At 41.9% G+C, this 27,591-nt stretch overlaps 1 protein-coding gene across 5 annotated transcripts, besides 4 other annotated features; it reads left to right on the top strand.

The window, feature by feature from the left end:
- Positions 1-1,717: 1,717 nt before the first annotated feature.
- ZNF799 (zinc finger protein 799) lies at positions 1,718-26,786 on the top strand. 5 transcript variants are annotated; one of them, NM_001322498.2, is made up of 5 exons: positions 15,531-15,734; positions 18,551-18,668; positions 23,379-23,505; positions 24,139-24,199; positions 24,596-26,786. In NM_001322498.2, exons 3-5 carry the CDS (start codon positions 23,472-23,474, stop codon positions 26,334-26,336), a joined length of 1,836 nt encoding a protein of 611 aa, NP_001309427.1. In that variant the 5' UTR covers positions 15,531-15,734; positions 18,551-18,668; positions 23,379-23,471; the 3' UTR covers positions 26,337-26,786. The 5 variants fall into 5 exon arrangements, with proteins under 5 accessions (XP_047295605.1, NP_001309427.1, NP_001074290.1 ...); XM_047439649.1 differs by lacking the exons at positions 15,531-15,734; positions 18,551-18,668 and adding an exon at positions 1,718-2,843; NM_001080821.3 differs by lacking the exon at positions 18,551-18,668.
- Positions 15,377-15,426: an enhancer, noted in NCBI's record as "active region_14054". NCBI's record gives its function as "activates an Ori minimal core promoter by ATAC-STARR-seq in GM12878 lymphoblastoid cells {active_cell/tissue: GM12878}" and the evidence as "EXISTENCE:reporter gene assay evidence [ECO:0000049][PMID:35858748]".
- Positions 15,757-15,916: a silencer, noted in NCBI's record as "silent region_10149". NCBI's record gives its function as "represses an Ori minimal core promoter by ATAC-STARR-seq in GM12878 lymphoblastoid cells {active_cell/tissue: GM12878}" and the evidence as "EXISTENCE:reporter gene assay evidence [ECO:0000049][PMID:35858748]".
- Positions 16,147-16,236: an enhancer, noted in NCBI's record as "active region_14053". NCBI's record gives its function as "activates an Ori minimal core promoter by ATAC-STARR-seq in GM12878 lymphoblastoid cells {active_cell/tissue: GM12878}" and the evidence as "EXISTENCE:reporter gene assay evidence [ECO:0000049][PMID:35858748]".
- Positions 25,938-26,439: an enhancer, noted in NCBI's record as "NANOG hESC enhancer chr19:12501177-12501678 (GRCh37/hg19 assembly coordinates)". NCBI's record gives its function as "activates a minimal SCP1, AML or CMV promoter by ChIP-STARR-seq in primed H9 embryonic stem cells {active_cell/tissue: H9 hESC(primed)}" and the evidence as "EXISTENCE:reporter gene assay evidence [ECO:0000049][PMID:30033119]".
- Positions 26,787-27,591: the final 805 nt, after the last annotated feature.

Below are 27,591 nucleotides of genomic sequence, written 5' to 3'. Positions count from 1 at the left end.
GATATCTCTATGAATGAGAAAGATTTACAGTTGTGGGGAAAGATTTATAGTTTTCTTTTCTTTTTTTTTTTTTTTTTTTGAGATGGAGTCTCGCTCTGTTGCCCAGGCTGGAGTGCAGTGGCGTGATCTCGGCTCACTGCAAGCTCTGCCTCCTGGGTTCATGCCATTCTCCTGCCTCAGCCTCCCAAGTAGTTGGGACTACAGGTGCCCGCCACCATGACCAGCTAATTTTTTGTATTTTTAGTAGAGATGGGGTTTCACCGTGTTAGCCAGGATGGTCTCTATCTCCTGACCTCATGATATGCCCACCTTGGCCTCCCAAAGTGCTGGGATTATAGGCGTGAGCCACTGTGCCCAGCCTACAGTTTTCTTTTTTAAAAGAAAACCAAAAAGAAACACCCTACCTAAAAAAAAACCATCATGCTGTCATAGAGGTAACTGAAGAATGTAATCGCAGTGTTTCCTGTAGTATATTTAAACTGCTACATATAAATTTTGGTATTTTCCATGAGTGACCTTTTCCACTAAAATGTGTTCTCTCAGGGATCACCTCCAGCCATTTACTGTAGACTTCCTAGCTTCTCTTAGGGTTAAAAAAAATTGTTTTTCAGAGGAATCGAGGAGTCACCATTCCTGAGTTTTTCATCATGGTAACGTGAACATTTATTTTTGTACTAGAGCTTTTGTAAGAATCAACACAGTAGGCTGGGCACAGTGGCTCATGCCTGTAATCTCAGCACTTTGGGAGGCCAAGGCAGGCAGATCACTTGAGGTCAGGAGTTCGAGACCAGCCTGGCCAACATGGCAAAACCCCGTCTTTACTAAAAACAAAAAACAATTAGCCGGGAGTGGTGATGCATGCCTGTAATCCCAGCTACCTGGGAGACTGAAGCAGGGGAATCGCTTGAACCTGGGAGGCGGAGGTTGCAGTGAACCGAAATTGCACCACTGCACTCTAGCCTGGGCAACAGAGTGAGACTCTGTCTAAAAACAAACAAAAAACAAAAACAACATAAATCAACTACTTAACTGGTGCAGTTTGTAAAAATATACAAAATCTGTACATAAACCTCTAACAATCATGTAGTTTGACACACTGAACCCTCTTTTTATACCTGTTTTGGAACAAATAAATATGCTAGCAGCAGTTAATGTGAGGAGTGAAGGGTGGAGCATCTTGCAGAGCAGTAGTTTATCCTTCAAGGAGGGAACAAAATCTTGTGATAATAGACTGTGTGTGTGTATGTCATTTTTTAAGACATGAAAATTATTTGTTGATGAGTTATAATCAGACATCATTTATTTCTTATTTGCCAAACATGCCCATTTTCCCTGTCAGGAAAAGCTACAGTTTTTAAAAATAGAAGATTTCATTTAATCTGATGACACCTCATGTTTGGTTCCTTTCTTTTAGCAATGGATTCCACCTTTCAGTTGATGATGCTTTTTCTTTTTTGAGGTGGAGTCTCGCTTTGTCACCAGGCTGGAGTGCAATGGCACAGTCTCAGCTCACTTCAGCCTCCACCTCCTGGATTCCAGCGATTCTCCTGCCTCAGCCTCCCGGGAAGCTGGGATTACAGGCACGTGCCACCACGCCCAGCTAATTTTTATATTTTTAGTAGAGACAGGGTTTCACCATGTTGGCCAGGCTGGTCTCGAACTCCTGACTTCAGCTGATCCGCCCGCCTCAGCCTCCCGTAGTGCTAGGTAGGATTACAGGCATGAGCCACTGCGCCTGGCCTCACAATGCTTTTATGTCTGGTCCTTAAAAACATGGCAAAACTCATGTTTTCAGATTCAAAGTCTAATGTTTCAGGTTTTGATTGGAGCGTTTAATTCGTTAACATTTAAAGTGTTGAAGAAAGGAGTGTTTCCACAGTGTGCAAGCAGGATAGGAGGGCGAGTTGAGTGCCAAAAGTTAAATGCTTCCATGTCCCTGCCTCATCACTAGATTGTTTCAGGAGTCAGAGTTTGGCTCCTAAGCTTGGGAATCTGTTTGACCTCCTGAAAGGGAGTTTGCTTGTGAACTGTGGGTTCAGCAGGCTGCTGCTTTGAGCTAGTTCATGTTTCTTCCTTTCTTCTCTTTTGATTCCTTTATAGAAGACTGTTGCCTTATAATTCCAGTTTTTCCATGCATGTAACAGTTTTATTTCATTGTTGATGTGCTTTTATGAGCTGAAAATGAGTAGATTGAGAGATAAGGTGGGAGAAAGGCTTGGCCATGTCGCCAGCAGCCCCATCTGAAATTCCTGATCCCTGGAGGATATCAGGCCTTCCCTCCTGCTGCAGGGTGGCCTGTGTGGCTTGGGCTCCCCTCCTGCTCTGAGGCTAGGGGATGGCTCCACTGGACAGTGGTCTGGGATTCCCAGCACAGACTTGTGATCTGTCCAGGGGAAGAGGTAGTAAGAGCTCATTGAGTACAGGTGGGAAATTATGCCCACATGCAAATGTCCCCAGGGGCGGGATAAGGTCACAGCACTAGGAACCACTAGGCAAGAAGATCGCTCTGTGAGGGTCTGGGTCTGGAACCTGTTTTTCTGCCTCCACTCAGCACCAAGAGATACCTTCTTCTGTCACTGAGTTCCCCAGGGGGCAGGACATGGTACACTACTCAATCAGGGACGTGGGGTGGGGTCGTGAGAACTGTGAATAAGGGAGCTGCCGCGAGGAGGCTGTGAGGTTCCAAGAGCCCAGGGCATCTTCTCCACTCCTTGCGCTTGGTTCCCAGCTCTGTTGCTAAGAGACGCCCTGAAAGTTCTGTGGCAGCCTCTGGCACACTGGGACCCGCACAGGCCGCAGGAGCCGTAGAGAAGACCCCGGGACACCGTGGAAGCCAGGAAATGGTGCGTGTGCACGGCCTAGGGGTCCGGAGACGGGAGGAGGGGTTGGTTGGAACCAGCTGTTACCAGCTGGGGCAGGACCCAGACTTCCCTACGGGCGACTACCCGGTCTGCGGACCCTTCCCCTGGACAGCAGAGTCTGAAGTCCACCATCCTGTCTAATCCACCGTCCTGTCTCCTCAACCTAACTCTTTATAGGGGTCACAGTAAGTCCCTTGGTTTCCAGAGCCTTCCCCAGGGGGTAACTTTCTCTCCTCAATATTCCCACTACTGGTCGTAGATTATGGATGAATTTAAGTTTTCTAAGAAATTCTAATGGCATGTGTACATTACCTGTCTGACCGTGTACGCATGTGTGTGTTTATTCCTTACAAAGACTTATCTTTTATTTATCTCCATATGAGTATATATTGGTTTTTACTGATTAGCATTGGTGCAGAACATTTTTCCCTTGTGGGCTTTCATTTTCTGAAATTGTGCCTTTCTGAGAGCCTTCTGTTGACCTAAATTAAGGCTATTGAGGTAGAAGTCATTTTATGTAGGTTTACTGGTCAAATTTGAGGATTGACCCAGGAAGACACACCAGCAAATTTGGATGTGTTCCAACCTCCATTACAAATCAGACGCTTTCCTAAGAACCTTTAGGAGAAGGGAGGGGGACTCCTCATTGGTGAATTGTCCTTTTCATTGGAGGGTACAATTCAGAGGTTATAAACATTGGTTACACATGACAACATACAGGCTAAAAGGTTCTACATGGAAGACAATCAGGAAAACTTCATGATTTAGAAACGAATCAGGATCCTTTTTGATGTCAGTAGGTTACATGTTAATGAGAGCATCAGCAGTTTGAAGAACTCACAATATGATTTGAGGGACTCAGGATAAGATTCTTTTTTTTTTTTTTTTTTTTTGGAGACGGAGTCTTGCTCTATGGCCCATGCTGCAGTGCAATGGTGTGATCTCGGCTCACCATAGCCTCCGCTCACCATCACCTCTGCCTCCCGGGTTCAAGCGATTCTCCTGCCTCAGCCTCCCGAGTAGGCAGGCACGCACCACCATGCCTGGCTAATTTTCTATTTTTAGTAGAGATAGGGTTTCTCCATGTTGGTCAGGCTGGTCTCAAACTCCCGGCCTCAGGTGATCTGCCTGCCTTGGCCTCCCAAAGTGCTAGGATTACAGGCGTGAACCACCACCCCCAGCCCAGGATAAGATTGTTTACTCAGGGACAGGATGTGGGCCGTGGATCAGAAGACCTCCCCCAGGTAGATTAATTTGGAAGCCAGCCAAATGTGACCCTTTAGGTTTTTCTTTTTCCTGGTCGGGGCCTAATAATGCCTAAATGTCAGACTAGTGACCAAGTGTTCCTCTTCAAGAACACTTGTTTTTGCTGACATTTCGTGGGTTTTTTTTTTTTCTGACAAATTTTTATTTTATTTCTACCAAGACAGCCGCAGCCAAGACAATCCTACAAAGAGAGCTTTGATCTGGATAGAACTTAGGTTCAGATGTGTTGGTCAGGTGCGACATAGAAAAGGCAACTCAACAAAATACAGGAAATAATAGAAACAGTGCATTTACATAGACATCCTAGACAGAAGAGATTAGCATGCCTTGAAGACCAAGAGTTAGCGGTCTTGAGTTACATGGACACTTGACCAGTATGTGCGGAACAAGAGAGGGAGGGGGACTCATGAGCTGAAGCCTTTATTGGGGCCCAGGGGTTACCCAACCAGGCTTCTCTTGGGGAGTTCTAATTGGTGTGTTTAAAAGGAAGTATGCGCAAGTTCCCCAGAGTCCAGCTTTGACTGAGAGGTGGTCACTGCTACACATGTCTGCAGTCCATGTGGGCTGTGGGGGGTGAGTCAGGCAAGTTGTATTTAGCTGTCCCATAGGGACATGGTGACAGAAAGATGGTTACGTAAGGGAGATATCTGGATCAACCACATTGAGGAAGGAGGAGGAGGTAGAGAACAAGAAAGTGTATCTGAGATTACAAACCCATTTTCTGCTTGGAGAGTGTTCAAAGCAAATTCAAAATGGAAGCTGGGCTGGGCACAGTGGCTCATGCCTGTAATCTTAGCACTTTGGGAGGCTGAGGCTGGCAGATCACTTGAGACCAGGAGTTCGATACCAGCCTGACCAACATGGTAAAACCCTGTATCTACTAAAAATACAAAAATTAGCGGGGTGTGGTGGTGCGCATCTGTAGTCCCAGCTGCTCAGGAGTCTGAGGCAGGAAAATTGCTTGAACCTGGGAGGTGGAGGTTGCAGTGAGCTGAGATCGAGCCACTGCACTCCAGCCTGGACAACAGAGTGAGTGAGAGTCTGCCTCAAAAAAAACAAAAACGAAAAACCAAAATGGAAACTGGGGCAATATCAAGTGAATAAGAATTCACAAAACAGGTAGGTGTATAGTGAGTTGATTATTGTATGTGAAGATGATGAGCAGAAAATTGATTTTTCTCTTGAAGATAACCATTTGTCCCTGTCTTTTGTGTTGAAGTGTCTCCCATTTATATCGTTGCCTGCTAATACCTGCATGTCATAGGTTCTTGTGTCTTAAATTGGTGATCTTGTTTTAGAATTGGCTATTTTCCATTGGTTTCTCTTTTAGTCATTGTGGTTAATACCATACTCTCCTCATTACTATAGACTTCAAAGCCTTGATGTGTGGTCACCTCAAGCTATTATAACAGATTACCACAGGCTGCATACCATAAACAACAAACATTTCTCAAAGATGTAGAGGCTGGGTTTCCAAGTTCAAGCAGATGAAGTCTCTAGTAAGGGCCTGCTTCTTGGTTTGCAGATAGCAGTCTTCCTTTTATATTCTTACATGGCGGAGATATGTCTGTATCATCTGTCTAGTTGCAGTGCAAGGGCAATGTTGGCCTTATAACATGATTTCTCTCTGCTTCTCTTTTTCAGAAGAGATTGTAGAAAATTGGTGTCATTTCTTCCATAAGTGTTTGCCAGAGTTCACCAGTGAAACCATCCTGGTCTGGTTCCTTTTTCTTGGGACATTTGTTATTTAGTGATTCCAATTTTTAAATAGATTATGCCCGTTCGTATTACATGGGTCTAATTTTGTGAGTTTTGGTAGATTTTGTCTTTCAGGGAATTGGCCCATTCATGTAATTAAACAAATCTGTAGACATGCAATTGCTCTGAATAGTCCCTTATGGTCACTTTAATGTGCATAGGAATAGTAGTGATGGCCCCCTTTTTTTTTCTGAGTTGGCTTGGCTGTGGGTTTAGCAATGTTCTTGGTCTTTTTAAAGAACTAGCTCTTGATTTTATTGATGTTTTTAATTGATATCTTGTTTGCAATTTCATTAATATATTCTCATTGTAATTTTCCTCTGAGTGATTTATCTTGGAGTTCTTTCTTTAGTTTCTCAAAATGGAACTTTAGTTTCTCAAAATGGAGCATTGATTTTAGATCTTTATTTTCCAGAGTTTGCATTCAATTCTTTGAATTTCCCTGTAAACACTGCCTTTGCTACATTTCAAACATTTCGCTAAGGCTGGGCATTATGGTTCATGCTTGTAATCCCAACACTTTGGGAGGCCAAGGTGGTAGGATCACTTGAGCCCAGGAATTTGAGACCAGCCTGGGGAATATAGATCTCATCTCTATGAAAAGTGTTTTTGGCTAAGATATATATATATATATATATATATATATATATATATATATATATGCACACAGACATTGATATATACACAGACACATATGTATATATATGTATGTGTATATGTATGTATGTATGTATGTATGTATATATATATATTTGTTTGTTTGTTTTTTGAGACACAGTCTCACTCTGTTGCCCAGGGTGGAGTGCAGTAGCATGATTTCAGCTCACTGCAACTTCCACCTCCCGGGTTTAAGCAATTTTCCTGCCTCAGCTTCCCGAGTATCTAGGACTACAGGTGTGCACCACCATGCCCAGATAATTTTTTGTATTTTTAGTAGAGACAGGGTTTTGCCATGTTGGCCAGGCTGGTCTCCAACTCCTGACCTCAAGTGATTCACCCACCTTGGCCTTCTAAAGTGCTGGGATTATGGGCGTGAGCCACTGTGCCTGGCCCTAAGATATAGTTTTCTCATCAACTTCAGAATATTTAAATTTCTCTTGACAGTTCGGTTTGTCTTTCATGTATTTTGGATGTTTGTTGTTCAAATGTCGACTTTCTGGAAGATTTTCAACTGTGTTTCTGTTACTGGTTTCTAGATTAATTCTAATATGGTTAGATTGCATACTTTACAGAATATCTATTTTAAATTTGTTAAGGTAGGTTTTATGGCTCAGAATATAGTCCATCCTGGTGAATATGTTATGTAGTTTGGAGAAGAATGTGTACTCTGGTGTTGAGTGAAGTATTCTATAAATACATATGAATTAAATCCAGTTGATTAATGATGCTGTTGAGTTCAGCTATGTCCTTAGTGATTTTTCTACTCAATTGATCAATTATTGATAGAGGGGAATTGTTCTCCTTCAACTATAATTATGGATTTGTGTATTTGCCTTGCAGTTTTATAAATTTATGCCGTATGCCAGGAGTTGCCAGCCTCCAGGCTGTGGACCAGTACTGGTCTGTAGCTGGTTAGGAACCGGGTGGCACAGCAGGAGATGAGCGGCAGGCAGTAAGCATTACCGCCTGCACATGCTGTCAAACCAGTGGCGGTATTAGATTCTCATAGGAGCGCGAACCCTGTTGTGAACTGCACATGCAAGGGGATCTAGGTTGTGCGTTCCTTATGAGAATCTAATGCCTGATGATGTGAGGTGGAACAGTTTCATCAGAAACCATTCCCCTACAGCGCAATTCCATGGGAAAATTGTCTTCCACAAAACCAGTCCCTGGCGCCAAAAAGGTTGGGGACTGCTGCCTTATGCATTTTTTTTTTTTCTTGAGGTGGAGTTTCACAATTATTGCCCAGGCTGGAGTGCAATGGCGCGATCTCGGCTCACTGCAACCTCTGCCTCCTGAGTGCAAGTGATTCTCCTGCCTCAGCCTCCCGAGTAGCTGGGATTACAGGTACCTGCCACCACGCCCAGCTAATTTTTTGTATTTTTAGTAGAGATGGGGTTTCACTATGTTGGCCACACTGGTCTTGAACTCCCGACCTCAGGTGATCCACCCACCTCGGCCTTCCATAGTGCTGGGATGACAGGCGTGAGCCACCACACCCAGCCACCTTATGCATTTTGATGCTCTATTTTCTGGACATACATATCAAGGATTATTATGTCTCTAGGATTGAGCACTTTATCATTATGAAATATCTCTATCTCTTGTAATTTTCCTTGATCTACAACCTGATTTATCTGAGTCTAATGTAGCCTGTTCCATATTCCTTTTGATTAGGGCTAAAATGGCATATATTTCTTTATACCATTGTATTTAATGTATCTGTGTCTTTCTATTTAAAATAGTTTTCTTTATACATTCATGGGTCTTGTTTTTTCCTTCTACTCTATCAATCTTTGTTTTATATTGGTATCTATAGATAATACATGTTTAAATGGCAATTGATATAGTTGGATTACTACGTACATATGTAATTGTGTTATGTTTGTCTGTTTTTTCAACTTCTTTTTTTCTGCCTCCTTTCCTTCCAACTGAGCATTTAATATGATTCCATTTTCTTTCTTTCTTCTATTAGTATAGTAAATCTATTACTATGTGAAATGAAATTTTATGAAAATGGAAGTAGAGTAAGTAGACTTATTATACTATACTACTTGTTTCATTTTCTTTTCTTTTCTTTTCTTTTGAGACAGAATCTTTTTTGTTTTTGAGACAGGGTCTCTCATACATGCTGGAGTGCAGTGGCACAATCATAGCTGACTGTGATCTCAAACTCCTGGGCTCAAGATCCCACTGCCTCAGCCTCCCGAGTAGCTGTGACTACAGTTTGTGCCACCATGCCCAAGATATTTTTAAAATTTTTATAGAGACAGGGTTTCACTATGTTGCTGATGCTGGTCTTGAACTTCTGGGCTCAAGTAATCCTCCCACCTTGGCCTCCTAAAGGTCCTGGGATTACACACATGAGCTACCCAACTAGCTATTGTTTCTTAAATTTTACCAGTAAATTCCCTAGAGTTTGAGTATTCCATTCACAATGAATGGACCTTTAGTTTTACAAAGCATCATACTGGCTTCTGGTATAGTGCCTGTATAACAGAGTGTTCCAAATTCCTCCCTCGTATCCCAGATAACATCACTGTCATTCATTGGCCCTATTATAAGCTAAACTACCCAATACATTGTTGATATTATTAGTTTGAACAAACATCTATTACATCAGATAGGAACTAGAAAAGGAAAGAGTTTTCTTGTGCCTTCATTTAATTCTTTTCATATATTTTATGTAGTTTGCATATGTATGTTTGTATGTATTTGTGTATATATGTTTGTGTGTGTGTGACCAGAATTTGTTCTAGTTCTTTTTTTTTCTCTCTCTCTCTCTTTTTTTTTTTAGATAGGGTCTTGCTTTGTTACTCAGGCTGGAGTGCAGTGACAGGAATATAGCTAACTGCAGCCTCCATCTCCTGGGCTGAAGTTAACCTCCTGTCTTAGCCTTCCAAGTAGCCTGTATCACAGATGTGCACCACCATGCCTGGCTAATTTTTTATTTTTTATAGAGATGGAGTTTCACCATGTTGCCCAGGCTGGCCTTGAACTCCTGGGCTCCAGCAATCCTACCATTTGGGTCTTCCAAAGTGCCGGAATTATAGGCATGAGCCACTGAGCCAGCCCAAATTTCTAACTTGTATCCTTTTTCTTCACTCTGATGAACTTCTTTTGACATTACTGGCAAGGCAGGTATACCAGTCACACATTCTCTCATCCTTGTTCCTTTTTTCCTCTCTCAGACTGGGTAATTTTAGTTGTTTTGTCTTCATTTTAGATGTTTTTCTTTAGTTAGTCACAACTGTTGAACACCTGTAGTGATGTTTTCATTTTAGTTGTCGTATCTTGCACCTGCATAAATGCTATATGGCTCAATATCTACTTTTTTAATTTAATTTTATTTTTTTTGAGAAGAAGTCTCGCTTTGTCGCCCAGGCTGGAGTGCAGTGACGCGATCTCCGCTCACTGCAAGCTCCGCCTCCGGGGTTCACGCCATTCTCCTGCCTCAGCCTCCCCAGTAGCTGGGACTACAGGCGCCCGCCACCATGTCCAGCTAATTTTTTGTATTTTTAGTAGAGACGGGGTTTCATCATGCTAGCCAGGATGGTCTCGATCTCCTGACCTCGTGATTCGCCCACTTTGGCCTCCCAAAGTACTGGGATTACAGGCATGAGCCACCGCGCCAGGCCTCTACTTTTTAATTAATATTATTTTATCCCTACATCTGTTTTCTGGTTTTCTTTTAGTTCTTTATTCATCATTGCTTTTACCTTGTTGAACATATTTGAGACGGTTATTTTAAAGTTTTTTGGTTTTTTTTTTTTGAGACGGAGTCTCACTCTGTTGCCCAGGCTGGAGTCCAGTGGCGCGATCTCGGCTCACTGCAAGCTCCGCCTCCCAGGTTCACGCCATTCTCCTGCCTCAGCCTCCCAAGTAGCTGGGACTACAGGCGCCTGCCACCATGCCCGGCTATTTTTTTTTTTTGTATTTTTAGTAGAGATGGGGTTTCACCGTGTTAGCCAGAATGGTCTCGATTTCCTGACCTCGTGATCCGCCTGCCTCGGCTTCCCAAAGTTCTGGGATTACAGGCGTGAGCCACCGCGCCGGGCCTTTTTTTTTTTCTTTTTTTTTTTTTTTTTGAGACAGAGTCCAACTCTGTCACCAGACATTAGTGCAGTGGCGTAATCTTGGCTCACTGCAACCTCCGCTTCCCGGGTTCAAGCGATTCTGCCTCAGCCTCCCGAGTAGCTGGGTATACAGGCGCATGCCACTACACCCAGCTAATTTTTGTATTTTTAGTAGAGATGGGGTTTCACCGTGTTGGCCAGGATGATCTCAATCGCTTGACCTTGTGATCTGCCCCCCTCGGCCTCCCAAAGTGCTGGGATTACAGGTATGAGCCATCGCGCTCGGCTCTAAAGTTTTAATTCAGTAAGTCCAGTGTCAGGTTTCTCAGAGATGAACTATGTCAATTAAACTTTTTCCATCAATGAGCCACATTTTCATGTTTCTCTGTATTCTTCATAATTTTGTTTGTATCAAAACAAAATTATGCTTACTCTTTGCTATTTATGTTTGTTGAAGGCTGTAATTTGTTTAGTAACATTTTCAAACTGTGTTTGCAGAGACTGTAGTCCCTATTCATTGTAGACACTGATGTCTATTCCTCTGTGTTCATTCAGTGTTCTGACAGATTTCTGGAATGTTAGAAGCTAAAAGTAAAGAAGAAGATGAAACAAACAAAAACCTTACCTCTTTCAGTCTTTGTGGATGGCTCTGTACTGGGGCATTCCTTGAAAACACAGTCAGGCTGTTTAAAATCCTACTTTAGCATTTATTTTCTGTTTAATTAAACCTAGGGATCAGCCAGAGCTGAAAATTAGGGTTTTATCATGTGTTTTGTGAAAATGTGTTCTTTCCTGTGCATGCATGGGGCTTTCTCAATTCCCCAGTATACCTGAGTGCTTTTGAGTACCCTAGTTTACTAGAGGAAATTTTCTCTCCAACTTTTTTCCCCCAGGATTTAGATGGTGTATTAGTCAGGGTTCTCTGGAGGGACAGAACTAATAGGATATATATATATATATAAATGGGAGTTTATTAAATATTAACTTAGACAATCACAAGGTCCCACAATAGGCTGTCTGCAAACTGAGGAGCAAGGAGAGCCAGTCCAAGCCCCAAAACTGAAGAACTTGGAGTCTGATGTTCGAGGGCAGGAAGCATCCAGCATGGGAGAAAGATGTAGGCTGGGAGGCTAGGCCAGTCTCTCCTTTTCATGTTTTTCTGCCTGCTTTATATTCGCTGGCAGCTGATTAGATTGTGCCCACCAGATTAATGGTGGATCTGTCTTCCCCAGCCCAGGGACTCAAATGTTAATCTCTTTTGGCAGCACCCTCACAGAGGCACCCAGGATCAATACTTTGTATCCTTCAATCCAATCAAGTTGACACTCAGTATTAACCATCAGAGATGGTATGTCATAATCATAATCCGTTTTACCAGGTGGTTGCAGGCTTTTGATGTATTTTACAACATTTTTAGGCAATTCCTGCCAAATTTGACAGGGACTGAGTTATTGTAGATGATATAGAACAGAGAGCCTTGTTTCAGACCTTTGGAAAGTCCCCATACCAATTCGAAAATACAAAGGTGATAATTGAGTGAGTAGGATTTTATACTGGGATCTCGGGCTGCTGTCTTTAAGACTGGCACTGAGGGCCGGGCATGGTGGCTCACGCCTGTAATCCCAGCAGGCAGGAGAACTGCTTGAACCTGGGAGGTGGAGGAGGCTACAGTAAGCCAAGATTGCAACATTGCGCTCCAGCGTGGGCAACAAGAGTGAAACTCTGTCTCAAAAAAAAATAAAAATAAAAATAAAAGAGAGAGAGACCAATACAATAATAGCTGGAGATTTTAACACCCCGTTTTCAGCACAGGACAGATCTTCCAGACAGTAAATCGACAAAGATTATCTCAATATATACTGAAAAATCAGACAAAAGAAAGATTAAATGGGATTTAATCTACACTATAGATCAAATGGATCTAATAGATATTTACAGAACATTTTATCCAACAGCTACAGAATACACATATTTTTCCCGAGCACATGCATCATTCTCAAGGATAGACCATATGTTAGTTCAAAAAGCATGTCTTAAAACTCTCCAAAAAAATTGAAATAATTTAAATTGTGTCATAGAATACATGGAATAAACTAGAAATCAATGACAAGAGGAATTCTGGAAACCATACAAACATATGGAAATTAAATAATCTGCTTCTGAATGACCAATTGGTCAGTGGAGAAATTAAGAAGGAAATTGTAAAGTTGCTTGAAACAAATGATAATGAAAATGCAACATACCAAAACCTATGGAATACAGCAAAAGCAGTACTAAGAGGGAAGTTTATAGATATAAGCACCTACATCAAAAAAGAAGAAGACCTGCAGGCTGGGTGCGGTGGCTCCCACCTGTAATCCCAGCACTTTGGGAGGCCGAGGTGAGTGGATCACCTGAGCTTAGGAGTTCAAGACCAGCCTGGCCAACATGGTGGAACCCTGTCTACTAAAAATACAAAAAATTAACCAGACATGGTGGTGGGTGCCTGTAATCTCAGCTACCTGGGAGGCTGAGGCAGGAGAATTGCTTGAACCCAGGAGGCAGAGGTGGCAGTGAGCTGAGATTGCGCCATTGCACTCCAGCCTAGGCTGCAAGAGTGAAGTAAAACTCACATCAAAAAAAAAAAGAAGAAGAAGAAGAAGAAGAAAACCTTCAAATAAACAACCTAAGAATGCATTTTAAAGAATTAGAAAAGCAAGAGCAAACCAAACCCAAAATTAGTAGAAAAGAAATAATAAAAATCAGAGTAGAAATAAATGAATTTGAAATGAAGAAACAATAGAAAAGAACAATGAAACAAAAAGTTGGTTTTTTGAAAAGACAAACAAAACTGACAAACCTTGAGGTAGACTAAGAAAAAAACAGAAAGGCCCAAATAAATAAAATTAGAGATGAAAAAGGAGACATTACAGTTGATACTGCAGAAATTCAAAGGATCATTAATGCAACTAAGAACAACTATATGCCAATAAATTGGAAAACCTAGAAGAAATTGATAAATTCCTAGGCAGATAGAACATAGCAACATTGAACCATGAAGAAATAAAAAACCTGAACAGACCAATAACAAATAATGAGATCAAAGCCATAATAAAAAGTCTGCTAGCAAAGAAAACCCCAGAACCCAGTGGCTTCACTGCTGAATTCTACTAACATTTAAAAAAGAACTAATACCAATCCTACTCAAACTATTCCAAAACAGAGGAGAAGGCAATACTTCCAAACTTATTTTACAAAGCCAATATTACTTTGACACCAAAACCAGACAAAGACATGTCAGAAAAAGAAAACTATAGGCCAGTGTCACTGATGAATATTGATGCAAAAATCCTCAACTCAATACTAGCAAACTGAATTTAACAATACACCAAAAAGATCATTCATCATGACCAAGTGGGCTTTATCCCTGGGATGCAAGGATGGTTCAATATATGCAAATCAATCAATGTGATGTATCATTTCAACAGAATAAAGGGCAAACACCATATAATCATTTCAATGTGCACTGAAAAAGCTTTTGATAATATTTAACATCCCTTCATGATAAAAACCCTAAAAAAAAACTGGGTATAGAAGCAGCTACCTTAACATAATAAAAGCCATATATGGCAGACCCACAGCTAGCATGATAATGAATGAGGAAAAACTGAAAGCCTTTCCTGTAAGATCTGGAACACAATAAGAATGCCCACTTTTACCACTGTTGTTCAGCACAGTACTCGAAGTCCCAGCTAGAGCAATAAGTCCAAAAAAAAAAAAAAAAAGAAATAAAGGGCATCTATATTGGGAAGGAAAGGAAGAAGTCAAATTATCCTGGTTTGCATATAATATGATCTTATATCTGGAAATACCTAAAGACTCCACCAAAAAAGTATTAGAACTGAGAAATAAATTCAGTAAAGTTGCAGGATACAATATTAACATACAAAAATCAGTAACATTTTTATATGCCAACAGTGAACAATCTGAAGCTACTTGAGAGGCTGAGGTGGGAGGATTGCTTGAGCTTGGGAGGTAGAGGTTGCAGTGAGCCATGATGGCCCCACTGCACTCCAGCCTAGGCAACAGAGCAAGACCCCATCTCAAACAACCAAAAACGTGTAGAAGGATGGTTACCACAGGCTGGGAAAAGTAGTAGCGAGGAGTAGTTATGGGGGAAGTGGGGATGGTTAATAGGTATAAAAAATAGTTACAAAGAATGAATAAGACCTAGTATTTGCTAGCACAACAGAGTGACTATAGTAAAAAATAATTTAATTGTACATTGAAATATTTTGAAAAATTTCATTGAAAAAGAGTATAATTGGAGCCAGGCGCGATGGCTCACGTCTCTAATCCCAGAACTTTGGGAGGCCAAGGTGGGCGGATCACGAGGTCAGGAGTTCGAGACCAGCCTGGCCAACATGGTGAAACCCGGCCTCTACTAAAACATACAAAAATTAGCCGGGTGTGGTGGCGCGCACCTGTAATCCCAGCTACTCGGGAGGCTGAGGCAGAATTGTTTGAACCCACCTAGGAGGCGGAGGTCGCAGTGAGCCTCGCACCATTGCACTCTAGCCTGAGCCACGGAGCAAGACTCCCTCTCTCTCTCTCTCTCTCTCTCTCTCTCTCGGAAAAAAAAAAAAAAAAAAAAAAAAAAGTATAATTGTTTTGTCAGTCAGTGTACAGGAGGAAGAAGCAGGAGGTCCTATTGAGTACAGGCAGGAAATTCCGCTTAAGTGCAAATATCCCTCGGGAGGATTCAGATCAAAGAGCAGGGAGGAAGCCCGCCCTGCCAAGGGCTGTGTCAGGAACTTGCTCATCTGGCTCCACTCAGCTGTGCAAGATCGCTTCTTCTGTCAATCAGTCCACGAGGGGCGGCACCTGACGCCGTATCCAGTAAGGGCCGTGGGGCGGGTTCGTGGGAACTGTCAATCAGGCGCGCTTCCCAGAGGAGTGTGTGGTTGAAAAAGCCCGCGGCGTCTTCTCCACCCACCTGCGCTGGGCGCTCGGTGCTCGGCTCTGTAGCTAAGAGACGACCTGGAAGTTCCGTGGCAGCCTGTGTCCCGCGGGAACCCGCATTGGCAGCGGGAGCCGTCCGGAGGACCTGGGACACCGCGGAAGTCGGGAAATGGTGCGTGTGCTGGGCCGGCGTCCCGAGGCGGGGGAGGGGCTGGGTGGAACCTGCAGTAATCGGCTGTGGCTGGACCCGGGCCTCCCCAAGGGCTACTCCGGGATCTACGGACCCGGGTTCCCCTGGCGTAGGTCGGCCCTCGGCCGCAGGGTGGGGCTGGGCATGCAGCCGGGACCCCGGGCGTCCTGTCCCGTTCCTGCGCGGCGACTGCGGCCCCGGCGCCCTCTCTGGGCAGCTCCGCGCCCGCAGCCTCGCGTCTCCCGAGATTGTGCGGCTGTAAGCAACACAGGTTCGCGGCCCGACTCACTGCACCGAGACGCTGAGGGCTGCAGCAGAAACAGTTTAATAGCCAGAGAGGGGAGGACACCCCAGATCCGCCTCCCTGAGGGATTTGGGGTCTGGACGGGGGCGGCTGGGTGTAGGGTCGTTGGTTGGTGGGGAAGTGAGGGGTGAATCCTGGGACAGGAGGTGAAGAAACCGCATTCTGCTGAATGGGCTCCCTCGTTGGGACTTCAACCTGATTGGCGCCAGCCTTTGCTGGGATTCAGGATCTGAGAACTCCGGCGACTCTTGAGCAGTTCTCAGAGATCTTATCCCCAGGCACAATGGGGAAGCCGGCGGTCAGCGTCTGCTGTGACCTGACTCTCAGGGAGGCGGCCCCTTGAGGCAGCGGGGCTGAGGGCACCTGGTTAATATCTAACTGCAATCTCGCCTCCAGCCTGGCTCGCAGTTCCTGTGAACCCGGTGAGGAGGCTGCACGGTGACGACGAGTCACCAGGTGGAATCCAGACTCGTGTGTGGGGTTTGTGTGTGGGAGGAGCTGTGGTCTCCGTGGTCCTCAGTCCCTTCTTTCTTTCCAAGGGCGACCGTTTCCCCTCTGAGTCTTCCAAAGATGTGGTTAGCAGGGTCTCAAATCCACCACTGTGTTCTCTCATCCTGACTCCTCCTAGGGCTGGCAGCAAATCTCTTGGTTTCCAGAGACTTCCCCAGGCTAACCTTCTGTCCTTAATTCACAGCAACGGTATGAACTGTTTGGCCCCCAGGCGATATTTCACTAGTTTGTCATCTTGTTTTCAGCTAGCAATGTATGGCTTTTTCTTGAAAGAATTATTTTGGGTTCCTGAACACGGTGGGTCATTCCTGTAATTCCAGCACCTTGGGAGGCTAAGGCAGAGGTATTGCTTAATCTTAGTAGTTCCAGACCAGCCTGGGCAACATGGCAAGACCTTGTCTCTAGTATAAATGATAATAATAAAATTAGCTGGGCTTGGTAGCTGGCACCTGTAGTCGCAGCTACTCCTGAGGCTGAGGTGGGATGATGGCTGGAGCCCAGGAGTTTGAAGTTGCAGTGAGCTATGATCGTGCCTCTGCATCCCAGCCTAGGCAACAGAGGCCGACCCTGTCTCAAAAAAAAAAAAAAAAAAGGGTGTCCACAGCTGCCAAGTCTCTTGGAGGGTCTAGTGAATATCATCCCCTGGGTCACTCCTCCCAGGGGACAGCCTGAGATGGGGGGTGTGGCCCCCTGGGGAGCAACTGGATCCACTGGGATGGGAGGAATCTTCTGGTATATAATTCCTGTAAAAAGCTAACTCCTGGGACACTCACCTTTTCTTCCCAACCCTAGTTTCCATTCCTTGGAGACACATGACTGAACAGCCAATTTCATGGTCATATTCCATAGGAAAAAAAAACAGAAATGATTTTTGCCTTCTGGACTCTCTCAGACTTAAAAGGTAGAAAGTTATATCTAAGGACTGGAGAACCTGCCCGTTGAGGTAGTGCAAGATCCTGAAAAGCACACAAGGCAGTGTCTCCTGGGAGGGTGATGACCAGAATAGGGTTAAGGGATGTCCCAGGTGATAGGATGACCCACCCTGATTGTTGCATTAGACTTTTCTGTGTTCCAGTCAGCACTGCTGATTCCTGAGTTTGTTAGCTTGAAAAGATATGTTTACTCTTTTCAGCCTAAATTTTTGATTAACCTTAAAATACATCCTATGATTAGAGATTGTTATTGTATACTTTGAAGACAAAGTATACCCAAAGTTGGAAAGAGTTGGACTTCAGAAAATAAATTGTATAAGTAATTCTAGAAAGAGTTGGATTTCAGAATATAAATGGTATATGTAATCTTCTATTCCATTTTTTAAAAACCTTTATTTATTTTTTTTGCCCCAGAGCTTGTGTAGTATGTTTCTCAGGTGTGTTTGTTTTTTGGATGATTTCAGATGGAATTTCAGGACTTAGTAGTATAACTACTACCAAGGAAAAAACCCTCTTCCATTATGGCTGCAAAAAAGGAATACATTTTTACAAGAAAGTGTAGTAGGTACATTGAATTAAAAGGATTTAACAAAAGTTCAGTTCTCCTTTTTAAAAGGGTGGAGATTTTGGGACAATGGAGAAATCTGTTCTGTTCCTGTTATATGGGTTTGACAGATGAATGCTAAATTCTGTGGGACAGGACTTTCCAACAGCTAAAGAAGTAAAATATAATTATTTTTAACTGTATCACTTACTATCATGGAAATAGTAATTAAATGACATTCATTGTCTGGAAGGGATAGGTATTTGGGCTTTTCCTGTTGAGGTATAAAATATCAGTGCCTTACAATTTCCTTCCCACCCATAGACATAAACACTGAATTTGAGTGATTTTCCTGGATTCATCAAACATGAGTATTTTGTTTTTAAATATCCATGTAAAGCATAGAAGGGTAAGAGAGTAGCTTTGACTATGGCAGAGAGGCCTGAGGCCAATGCCCCCACCTCCAGCTAAGACCAATTTTTTTTTTTTTTTTTTTTTTTTGAGACAGCGTCTCACTCTGTTGTCCAGGCTGGAGTGCAGTGGCACGATCTCAGCTCACTGCAACCTCCGCCTCCTGCGTTCAAGCGATTCTCCTGCCTCAGCCTCCCGAGTAGCTGGGACTACAGGTGCGTGCCGCCATGCCTGGCTAATTTTTTTTTTCTTTCGTATTTTTAGTGGAGACAGTTTCGCCATATTGGCCAGGCTGGTCTCCAACTCCTGACCTCAGGCAATCCACCAGCTTTGGCCTCCTAAAGTGCTGGGATTATAGGCATGAGCCACCATGCCCAGCCCCATATGGCTTTTGATTAGGGCTAGAATGGAGTATATTTTTTCATACCTTTATATTTAATGTACCTGTGTCTTTCTACTTAAAATAGTTTTCTTGAGAGAATAAAAAAATAGTTTTCTTGCACACATTGGTGGATCTTGTTTTTTTTCTACTGTGTCAGTCCTTGTCTTCTTTTATTGGTATATTCATATAATACACATTTAAAGTGGTTATTGATATACCTGGATTCATATGTACATATATAATTGTTTTACATTTGTTATACTTGTCGGTTTTTTTCAACTTCCTTTTTCTGTCTCCTTTTATTTTAACTGAGGAGTCTATATGATTGTATTTTCTTCTAATAGTATGGTAAGTCTACTTGTTTCTTTGTTTCTTTCTTTCTTTCTTTTTTTTTTTTTTTTTGAGACAGGGTCTTGCTCTATCACCTAGGCTAGAGTGCAGTGGAGCAATCATAGTTAACTATAACCTCCAACTCCTGGGCTCAGGAGATCCTCCCTACTTGCTTTCCTGAGTAGCTGGGACTACAGGTGCAGGCCACCACGCCTGGCTAATTTTTTTTTTTTTTTACACGTTTCCTAGAGACAGAGTCTCATTGTGTTGCCGAGTGTGGACTCAAAGTCTTGATCTTAAGCAGTCCTCCTGTCTTGCATCTCAAAGTGTTGGCATTACAGGGGTGAGCCACTGTGACAGGCTGTTGTTTCTTAACATTTTATTATTGATTTCCCTAGCATTTGGAGTAAACCATTCACAACAAATGGACCTTCAGTTTTAAGTAACACTGTACTGGCTTTTGGGGTAATGCTTATATAACCCAGTGTTCAGCATTCCTCCCTCCCACCCAATTTAACATCACCGTCATCCATTTGCCCTATTATAAACTATAACCACCCAATACATTGTTGATATTATTTTTTGAACAAACCTTTATGATATCCAATAGGAATAAGAAAAGGAAATAATTTTTGTGCCTTCATTGAATTATTTTCTAATGCTCTTCATATATATGCATATGTATATATTTGTGTGTTTGTGTGTGTGTGTGTATGATCTGAGTTTCTAACCTGTATCATTTTTCTTCTCTCTGATGAACTTCTTTTAACATTATTGGCAAGACAAGTACACCAGTAACACATTCTCTCAATTTCATTCCTTTTTTTTTCCCCATTAGATTAATTTCAATTGGTTTATCATCATTTTAACTGATTTTTTTTTTTTGGCTGCTCACATCTTTTGAACACTTGTGATGATGTCTTCATTTTAGTTGTACCCTGCAGCTGCATAAATTCTATATGGCTAAATTTCTACCCCTTTTTTTTTGAGACAGAGGTTCGCTCTTGTTGCCCAGGCTGAAGTGCAGTGGCATGATCTCAGCTCACTGCAACCTCCACGTCCTGGGTTCAAGCGATTCTTCTGCCTCAGCCTCCCAAGTAGCTGGGATTACAGGCGTGCACCACCATGCCCAGCTAATTTTGTATGTTTAGTAGAGATAGGGTTTCACCACATTGGCCAGGCTGGTCTCAAACTCCTGGCCTCAGGTGATCCACACACCTTGGCCTCCCAAAGTGCTGGGATTACAGGCGTGAGCCACCACGCCCAGTTAATTTCTACTTTTTAATAGATATTATTTTATCTCTATATCTGTATTCTGGTTTTCTTTTAGTTATTTGTTCATCATTGCCTTTACTTCATTGAACATATTTAAGATAGTTGTTTTAACGTTTTTATTCAGTGAGTGCAGTGTCTGAGGTTTCTCAGAGATGGCTTATCTCAATTATATTTTTTCCAATTGATGAACCATATTTTCATGTTTTTCTGTATTCTTCATAATTTTGTGTTGAAAAGTAGACATCTCAATGTTATAATGGGGTAATTCTGAAAATTGGATTCTTCTTCTTTCCTCACTGTTTTCTGTTTATGTGTGTTGAAGACTGTAATTGTTCATTTGTTTAATAACATTTTCAAAGTATGTTTGCACAGACTGTATTCCTTATTTGTTGTAGAAACTGACATCTCTGTTCTTTAGTGTGTGTTCATCCAGTGTTCTGGCAGAGATTTCCTGAATGCTAGAAGCTAGTAAAAAAGATAAAGCATACAAAAGCCTGACCTCTTCCAGTCTTTGTGGATGGCTCTGTGCCTGGGGCATCCCTTGAACACTTAGCCAGGCTGTTTAATACTCTACTTATGCTTTATGTTCTGCTTACTTAAAGCTACAGATCAGCCAGAAGTGAAAATGAGGGTTTCTTCTCCGGTGTCTTTTGTGAAAATGTGTTCTTTACTGTGCATGCATGGGGCTTTCTCAATTCCCCAGGATACCTGGGTGCTTTTGAGTACCCTGATATCTGGAGGACATTTTCTCTTCAGCTCTTTTTCTCCATGACTTAGTTGGTCTACTGTATGTCTTAATCATAGTCTGTTCTTCCAGTTGGCTACAGGCTTTTTGTGTATTTTGCAACATTTTCATGCAGTTCCTGCCAAATTGGACCCTGATCGTGTTGTATTGTAGATAAAGTAGAAGAGAGGGCCTTGGCTGGGCACTGTGGCTCACACCTGTAATCCTAGCACTTTGGGAGGCTAAGGCAGGCGGATCATTTGAGGTCAGGAGTTTGAGACCAGCCTGGCCAACAGGGTGAAACCCCGTCTCTAGTAAAAATACAAAAGTTGGCCGGATGTGGTGGAGCATGCCTGTACTCCCAGCTACTCAGGAGGCTGAGGCTGGGTGGAATAACTTGAACCCGGGAGTCAGGTTGTAGTGAGCCAAGGTTGTGTGGCTGCACTCCAGTCTGGGTGACAGAGCAAGACTCCGTCTCAAAAAAAAAAAAAAAAAAAGACAGCTTTGTTTCAGACCTCGGGATAGTCCTTATACAGATTGGAAAATGCAAGGCAATAATTTGCAAATAAGATCTGATATGCTGTCTCTAGAATTAGTGTCCAGGGTTCTATACCGGGAACTCAGGCTGCTGTGTTCAAGACTGGTATTGATAGGGGGAGGGATTGGGCCAAGGACAAATAAAAGCTCCACAAGACTTTTCTACCAGTTTTCATTTTTCTTTATATATATATTTATCTCTCTGTTAATAGTACGGGGTGCCAAATAAAATCCTTTATTTGTTTTTGGAATGCTGCACTTTCTTGGTGAGAAGGCTTTCAGCATTTTTTAGATACTGTGAGTTCTATTAGATTTGGTAATGTAATTTTTGTTGACTACTAAAAGATTTGTTTTAGTTTCTTAGTAAGTATTATAAATATTCATGAGAGATGACACTGAGTTCTTTCTAAGAATATGTGCAGTCTTTCCCCTTCTTTCTTTCCCCTTTGGCGTTACTCAAAATGTTTAAAATTTTTCCTTTGAGGTGGTGTAATATCTTTTCTCAGTCTGTTGTCATACTTCAGTACATTTGATCTAAAGGAAACTAGTTGCCAGCTTCCAAATATTCTCTGTAAGTATAATCACATAGGATGGGCTAAATCCCCCAAATAACAAGTTGCAACAAAACGTGAAATGTTATCTACCCAGAAAGTTCATTATAGACCCAATGCCCAGAGTGTTTCTTTGTAGCTGTCTTAGCCTGTTTCTTGTTATTCATAACAGAATTACTGAACCTCGGTAATTTATAAGAAACAGTATTTAATTTTTACATTTCTGGAGGCTGGGAAGTCCAAGGTTAAGGCTGGGCATCTGGTGAGAACCTTCTTGCTGGTGGGGACTCTGCAGAGTCCCTAGGCGGCATAGAGTATCACATGGTGAGGGAGCTGAGTGTCTAGCTCAGATCTCTTACTCTTCTCAGAAGGACATGAGATAGCTCATTTATTCATTCACCCGTTACGGATTAATCTATTCATGAGGTCCAAACCCTTAGGACTACATCACCTCTTAAACCTCACTTTTTTTTTTTTACTGCCACTTTGGAGATTAACATTCAGTGTGCATTTTGGAGGGGACAACCATTCAAACCTAGCAGTGGCTGATCAGGTGCACTCCCTGTGCTGAGTATGTAACAAAATTCCAAACTCTCAGAAGGAAGATGGGGTTAAGGAAATACTGTATTTTTTTTGCGTAAACAATTTAGGCACACTCCACCCCTATTATTAGTTACGCTCCTGGGGCCCTCCCCTAAATACACTGTCTAGATACCATGAAAAGCCCAACTTTGTGAAAAAGCATTTGTAAGGACACACAGTCTCAGCACTGCTAATGGTAACTCCCTTTTGCACAATAAGTAGTAGGACTTTATCGTGCCAAGGACTGCAGACCCACTGTGGAAATCAACATTAGGGGTGATCCAGGCTATGTGATTCACTCACTCAGTTCGCCAACAAGTGGCATGTTTCTATCCCACTGTTAATTTACCAAACATGTTTAACTGTAGCTTCAGAGTTACTGTGTAGGAGAAAGTGAGTGTAGACAGAGAATAAGAGTGGGTTTACCATGTCATTGAATAAAATGGTTGGAAACCACAGCATCATGTGAAATTTATGAAGTGAGTATAGATTCTCAGTACTGTGATTTTCACCCTTCCTCCTCTGTACATGTGGGATGGATCAGGCCTCAGTGGCTTTAGAGGATGTGGCTGTGAACTTCACCCGAGAAGAGTGGGCTTTGCTGGGTCCTTGTCAGAAGAATCTCTACAAAGATGTGATGCAGGAAACCATCAGGAACCTGGATTGTGTAGGTAAGGATGACATCGCATTTCCACTTATTTAATTGGAGACATTTGTTTCTTGGTCATTCGTGCTGTTCAAAGATTTGGAATATGGAAAGGGGATATGGTTGGCCCTGGAAAAAAAAAAACAGGGTTTAGGGGTGCCAGCTCCTGTAGCAGTTGTACATCCTCATATAACTTTTTGTCCACATCTTAGCCTACTATTGATGGGCAGCATTATCAGTCACATAAGCAGTGATTAATACATATATTTTATGTCGTATTATTACATCGTATATTCTCACAGTAAAGTAAGCTAGAAACAGAAAGTGTTAAAAAGATAATCATAAGGAAGAGAAACTGTATTTACTGTTCATTAAGTGGAAGTGCATCATCAGAAAGGTTTTCATTCTCATTGTCTTCACATTGAGTAGGCTGAGTAAGAGGAGGGGCTGGTCTTAGTGTCTTGGGTAGCAGAGACTGAAGAACATTCATATATATATGTATATACAAATGGACTTGTGCAGTTCAAACCTCTGTTTTTCAAGAGTCAGGTGTACTTCAGTGAATGCATTTTGAACGATTGCAGTGTACATCAAAATGTTACTGTTTGTCTATAATTTTGTAAAAATTTGTAATGATTTTTCTGTGTATACCTTTTAGGAATGAAATGGAAAGACCAGAACATTGAAGATCAATATAGATATCCCAGGAAAAATCTAAGGTAATTTATACTCACAAGAGAAAGATATGTCCCTGGAGCCGTTCTGAGAATGATATGAAAATTTAAAAACAAGCAAAGAAAATGAACAAGCCTAGCTTAAATTTATTTATTCTTAGAAAATTTTCTCCAAAATATATACTTAAATGTTCCATAGCTGTTCAGTGTTCATAAATTAGTTCCCATGACAACAATATTATGAATCCACATATGAATGTGATTGTCTTGAGAACACCTGGGTCGAGTTACCTTGCACAGCATTCCATCCATTCACGTTCAAGCAGGACACGAAGCCTGCACTTTGCATGATAGTGTTAAAAATGTACATCCAATACTTATTAATACCTATACAATTATTTATAGACCGACTTTTAGTGATATATTTCCCATTTTTTACAGATGTCGTATGTTAGAGAGATTTGTTGAAAGTAAAGATGGAACTCAATGTGGAGAAACATCTAGCCAGATTCAAGATAGTATTGTGACCAAGAACACTCTTCCTGGAGTAGGTCCATATGAAAGCCGTATGAGTGGAGAAGTCATCATGGGTCATTCATCCCTTAATTGTTACATCAGAGTTGGTGCTGGGCACAAACCATATGAGTATCATGAATGTGGAGAGAAGCCAGATACGCATAAACAACGTGGGAAAGCCTTCAGTTACCACAACTCACTTCAAACACATGAGAGGCTTCACACTGGAAAGAAACCATATAATTGTAAAGAATGTGGGAAGTCCTTCAGTTCTTTGGGAAACCTTCAAAGACACATGGCAGTGCAGCGTGGAGATGGACCTTATAAATGTAAGTTGTGTGGGAAAGCGTTTTTTTGGCCCAGTTTATTACATATGCATGAGAGAACGCACACTGGAGAGAAACCATATGAATGTAAGCAGTGTTCTAAAGCCTTTTCTTTTTACAGTTCCTATCTAAGACATGAAAGAACACATACTGGGGAGAAACTGTATGAATGTAAACAGTGTTCTAAAGCCTTCCCTGATTACAGTTCTTGTCTAAGACATGAAAGAACTCACACTGGAAAGAAACCCTATACATGTAAACAATGTGGGAAAGCCTTCAGTGCTTCCACTTCCCTTCGAAGACACGAAACAACTCACACTGATGAGAAACCCTATGCATGTCAGCAATGTGGGAAAGCGTTTCATCATCTGGGAAGCTTTCAAAGACACATGGTAATGCACACGAGAGATGGACCTCATAAGTGTAAGATATGTGGAAAAGGCTTTGATTGTCCTAGTTCACTGAAAAGTCATGAAAGAACTCACACTGGAGAGAAACTCTATGAATGCAAGCAGTGTGGGAAAGCGTTATCTCATAGCTCAAGCTTTCGAAGACACATGACAATGCACACTGGAGATGGACCTCACAAATGCAAGATATGTGGGAAAGCCTTTGTTTATCCCAGTGTATTTCAAAGGCATGAAAAGACTCACACTGCAGAGAAACCCTATAAATGTAAACAATGTGGCAAAGCCTACCGTATTTCCAGTTCTCTTCGAAGGCATGAAACAACTCATACTGGAGAGAAACCCTATAAATGCAAATGTGGGAAAGCCTTTATTGATTTCTATTCCTTTCAAAATCACAAAACAACTCATGCTGGAGAGAAGCCATATGAGTGTAAGGAATGTGGGAAAGCATTCAGTTGTTTCCAATACCTTTCTCAACATAGAAGGACTCACACAGGAGAGAAACCTTATGAGTGTAACACATGTAAGAAAGCCTTCAGTCATTTTGGTAACTTAAAAGTACATGAAAGAATTCACTCTGGAGAGAAGCCGTATGAATGTAAGGAATGTGGGAAAGCATTCTCTTGGCTCACTTGCTTTCTACGACATGAAAGAATTCACATGAGAGAGAAACCCTATGAGTGTCAACAATGTGGTAAAGCCTTCACTCATTCCCGTTTTCTTCAAGGACATGAAAAAACTCATACTGGAGAGAACCCGTATGAATGTAAGGAATGTGGGAAAGCATTTGCTTCTCTCAGTTCCTTGCATAGACATAAAAAGACTCACTGGAAAAAAACTCACACTGGAGAGAACCCGTATGGATGTAAGGAATGTGGGAAAGCATTTGCTTCTCTCAGTTCCTTGCATAGACATAAAAAGACTCACTAGCATTCTCTCTAAATGTATGGAATGTGGGAAAGCATTTATTAATTTTATTTCATTTCAGATACTTGTACGAAACACATTGGAGATAGACCCTGTGAATGTAAGCACTTGGTAAAACCTTAAGTAATTTCAGTTTCTTTCCAGTACAGTCATCCCTTGATACCTGCTGGGTATTGGTTCCAGCACTCCGTGAGCCATGTCCAGTCCCTTTTATAAAATGACATATTTGTATGTAACTTACCCACATCCTCTTGTATACTCTCAATTATGTCTAGATTACTTAAAATACCTCATGCATTGTAAAAGCTATGCAAATAGTTGTTCTATTGTATTGTTTAGGGACTCATGATAAGGAAAAGAGTCTATGTATTTTCAGTATAGATGCAGTAATTGTCAGCCTATCAACATAGTATAGTCAGCCAGAACATTAAAGTTTCTTTGTTTCAACTCTCACATATTGCTTTTGTTTAATGTGTTAACACTTACCAAAACCCTGGGTCTTCTCTCTTGATAACCCAAGTATAGTGATTATAACGATGATGATTCTGTGGTGCCCAGTGTTTTGATGTGTTGAGATGACTAGATGTATGGCATTGTGGGTAAGTAGTGAGACATCAGGTTAACTTGAATCTTGACAGGCCATCAGGACTATCATCTATGTTGGAAGAACCAACTTGTGATTATAGATGTGGACTCATTTGAGGAGGCTATGTAATACTAATGTTAGGATCTGTTTGGCTTGAGGGCTGAAGATCTGTAACCATTGAATGTTCCATCTTCTTTGCAGATGCTTAGTTATAGGAAGCTAGTTCTTCTTTTCCTTTGCTTCATTAAAAAAAAAATCTTGCAGTGTTTATAGGCATGTTGTTATTTCTCGGGTGGAGTGAAAGCTTTGTTCCATTGTAGGATCTTTGAGGATCGTACCTCTTTTTCACCTTTGCCTACTGAAAAACTGTGGCAAACTTTTCAAGTGTCCAAATCAATGGCTCTGTGTCCTCTAAGTTTTCTAGCTCATCATCATCTGTAGTGGATTTCAGCAGACTTTGAAGTTCCTAGCTGGTAAGGGTTTCTCTTTGCTTTTCGGTGTGTTCCTTAACGTCATCCTCAGTCGTTTCAGACAGCGTTCTCCATCAACTTTTTTAGCAACATTTTACATATTCTTAATAACTGCATTAATAGTGGGGAAGCCCTTGAAATCATTGACTCCCTTACCCCATGATGGCTTGTAACATGCATTGGCTGTCCTGGGCTTTAGGGC

This window comes from Homo sapiens, chromosome 19 (assembly GCF_000001405.40).
Source record: "Homo sapiens chromosome 19, GRCh38.p14 Primary Assembly".
NCBI lineage: Eukaryota > Metazoa > Chordata > Mammalia > Primates > Hominidae > Homo > Homo sapiens.
This window is presented reverse-complemented; position numbering and strand designations above follow the sequence as displayed.

Bases quoted from the DNA above. Each gene is read 5' to 3' on its own strand.
- ZNF799 (XM_047439649.1), top strand. The intron at 23,506-24,138 runs GTAAGGATGACA...TATACCTTTTAG, and splicing joins CAGGAACCTGGATTGTGTAG to GAATGAAATGGAAAGACCAG. The intron at 24,200-24,595 runs GTAATTTATACT...CATTTTTTACAG, and splicing joins TATCCCAGGAAAAATCTAAG to ATGTCGTATGTTAGAGAGAT.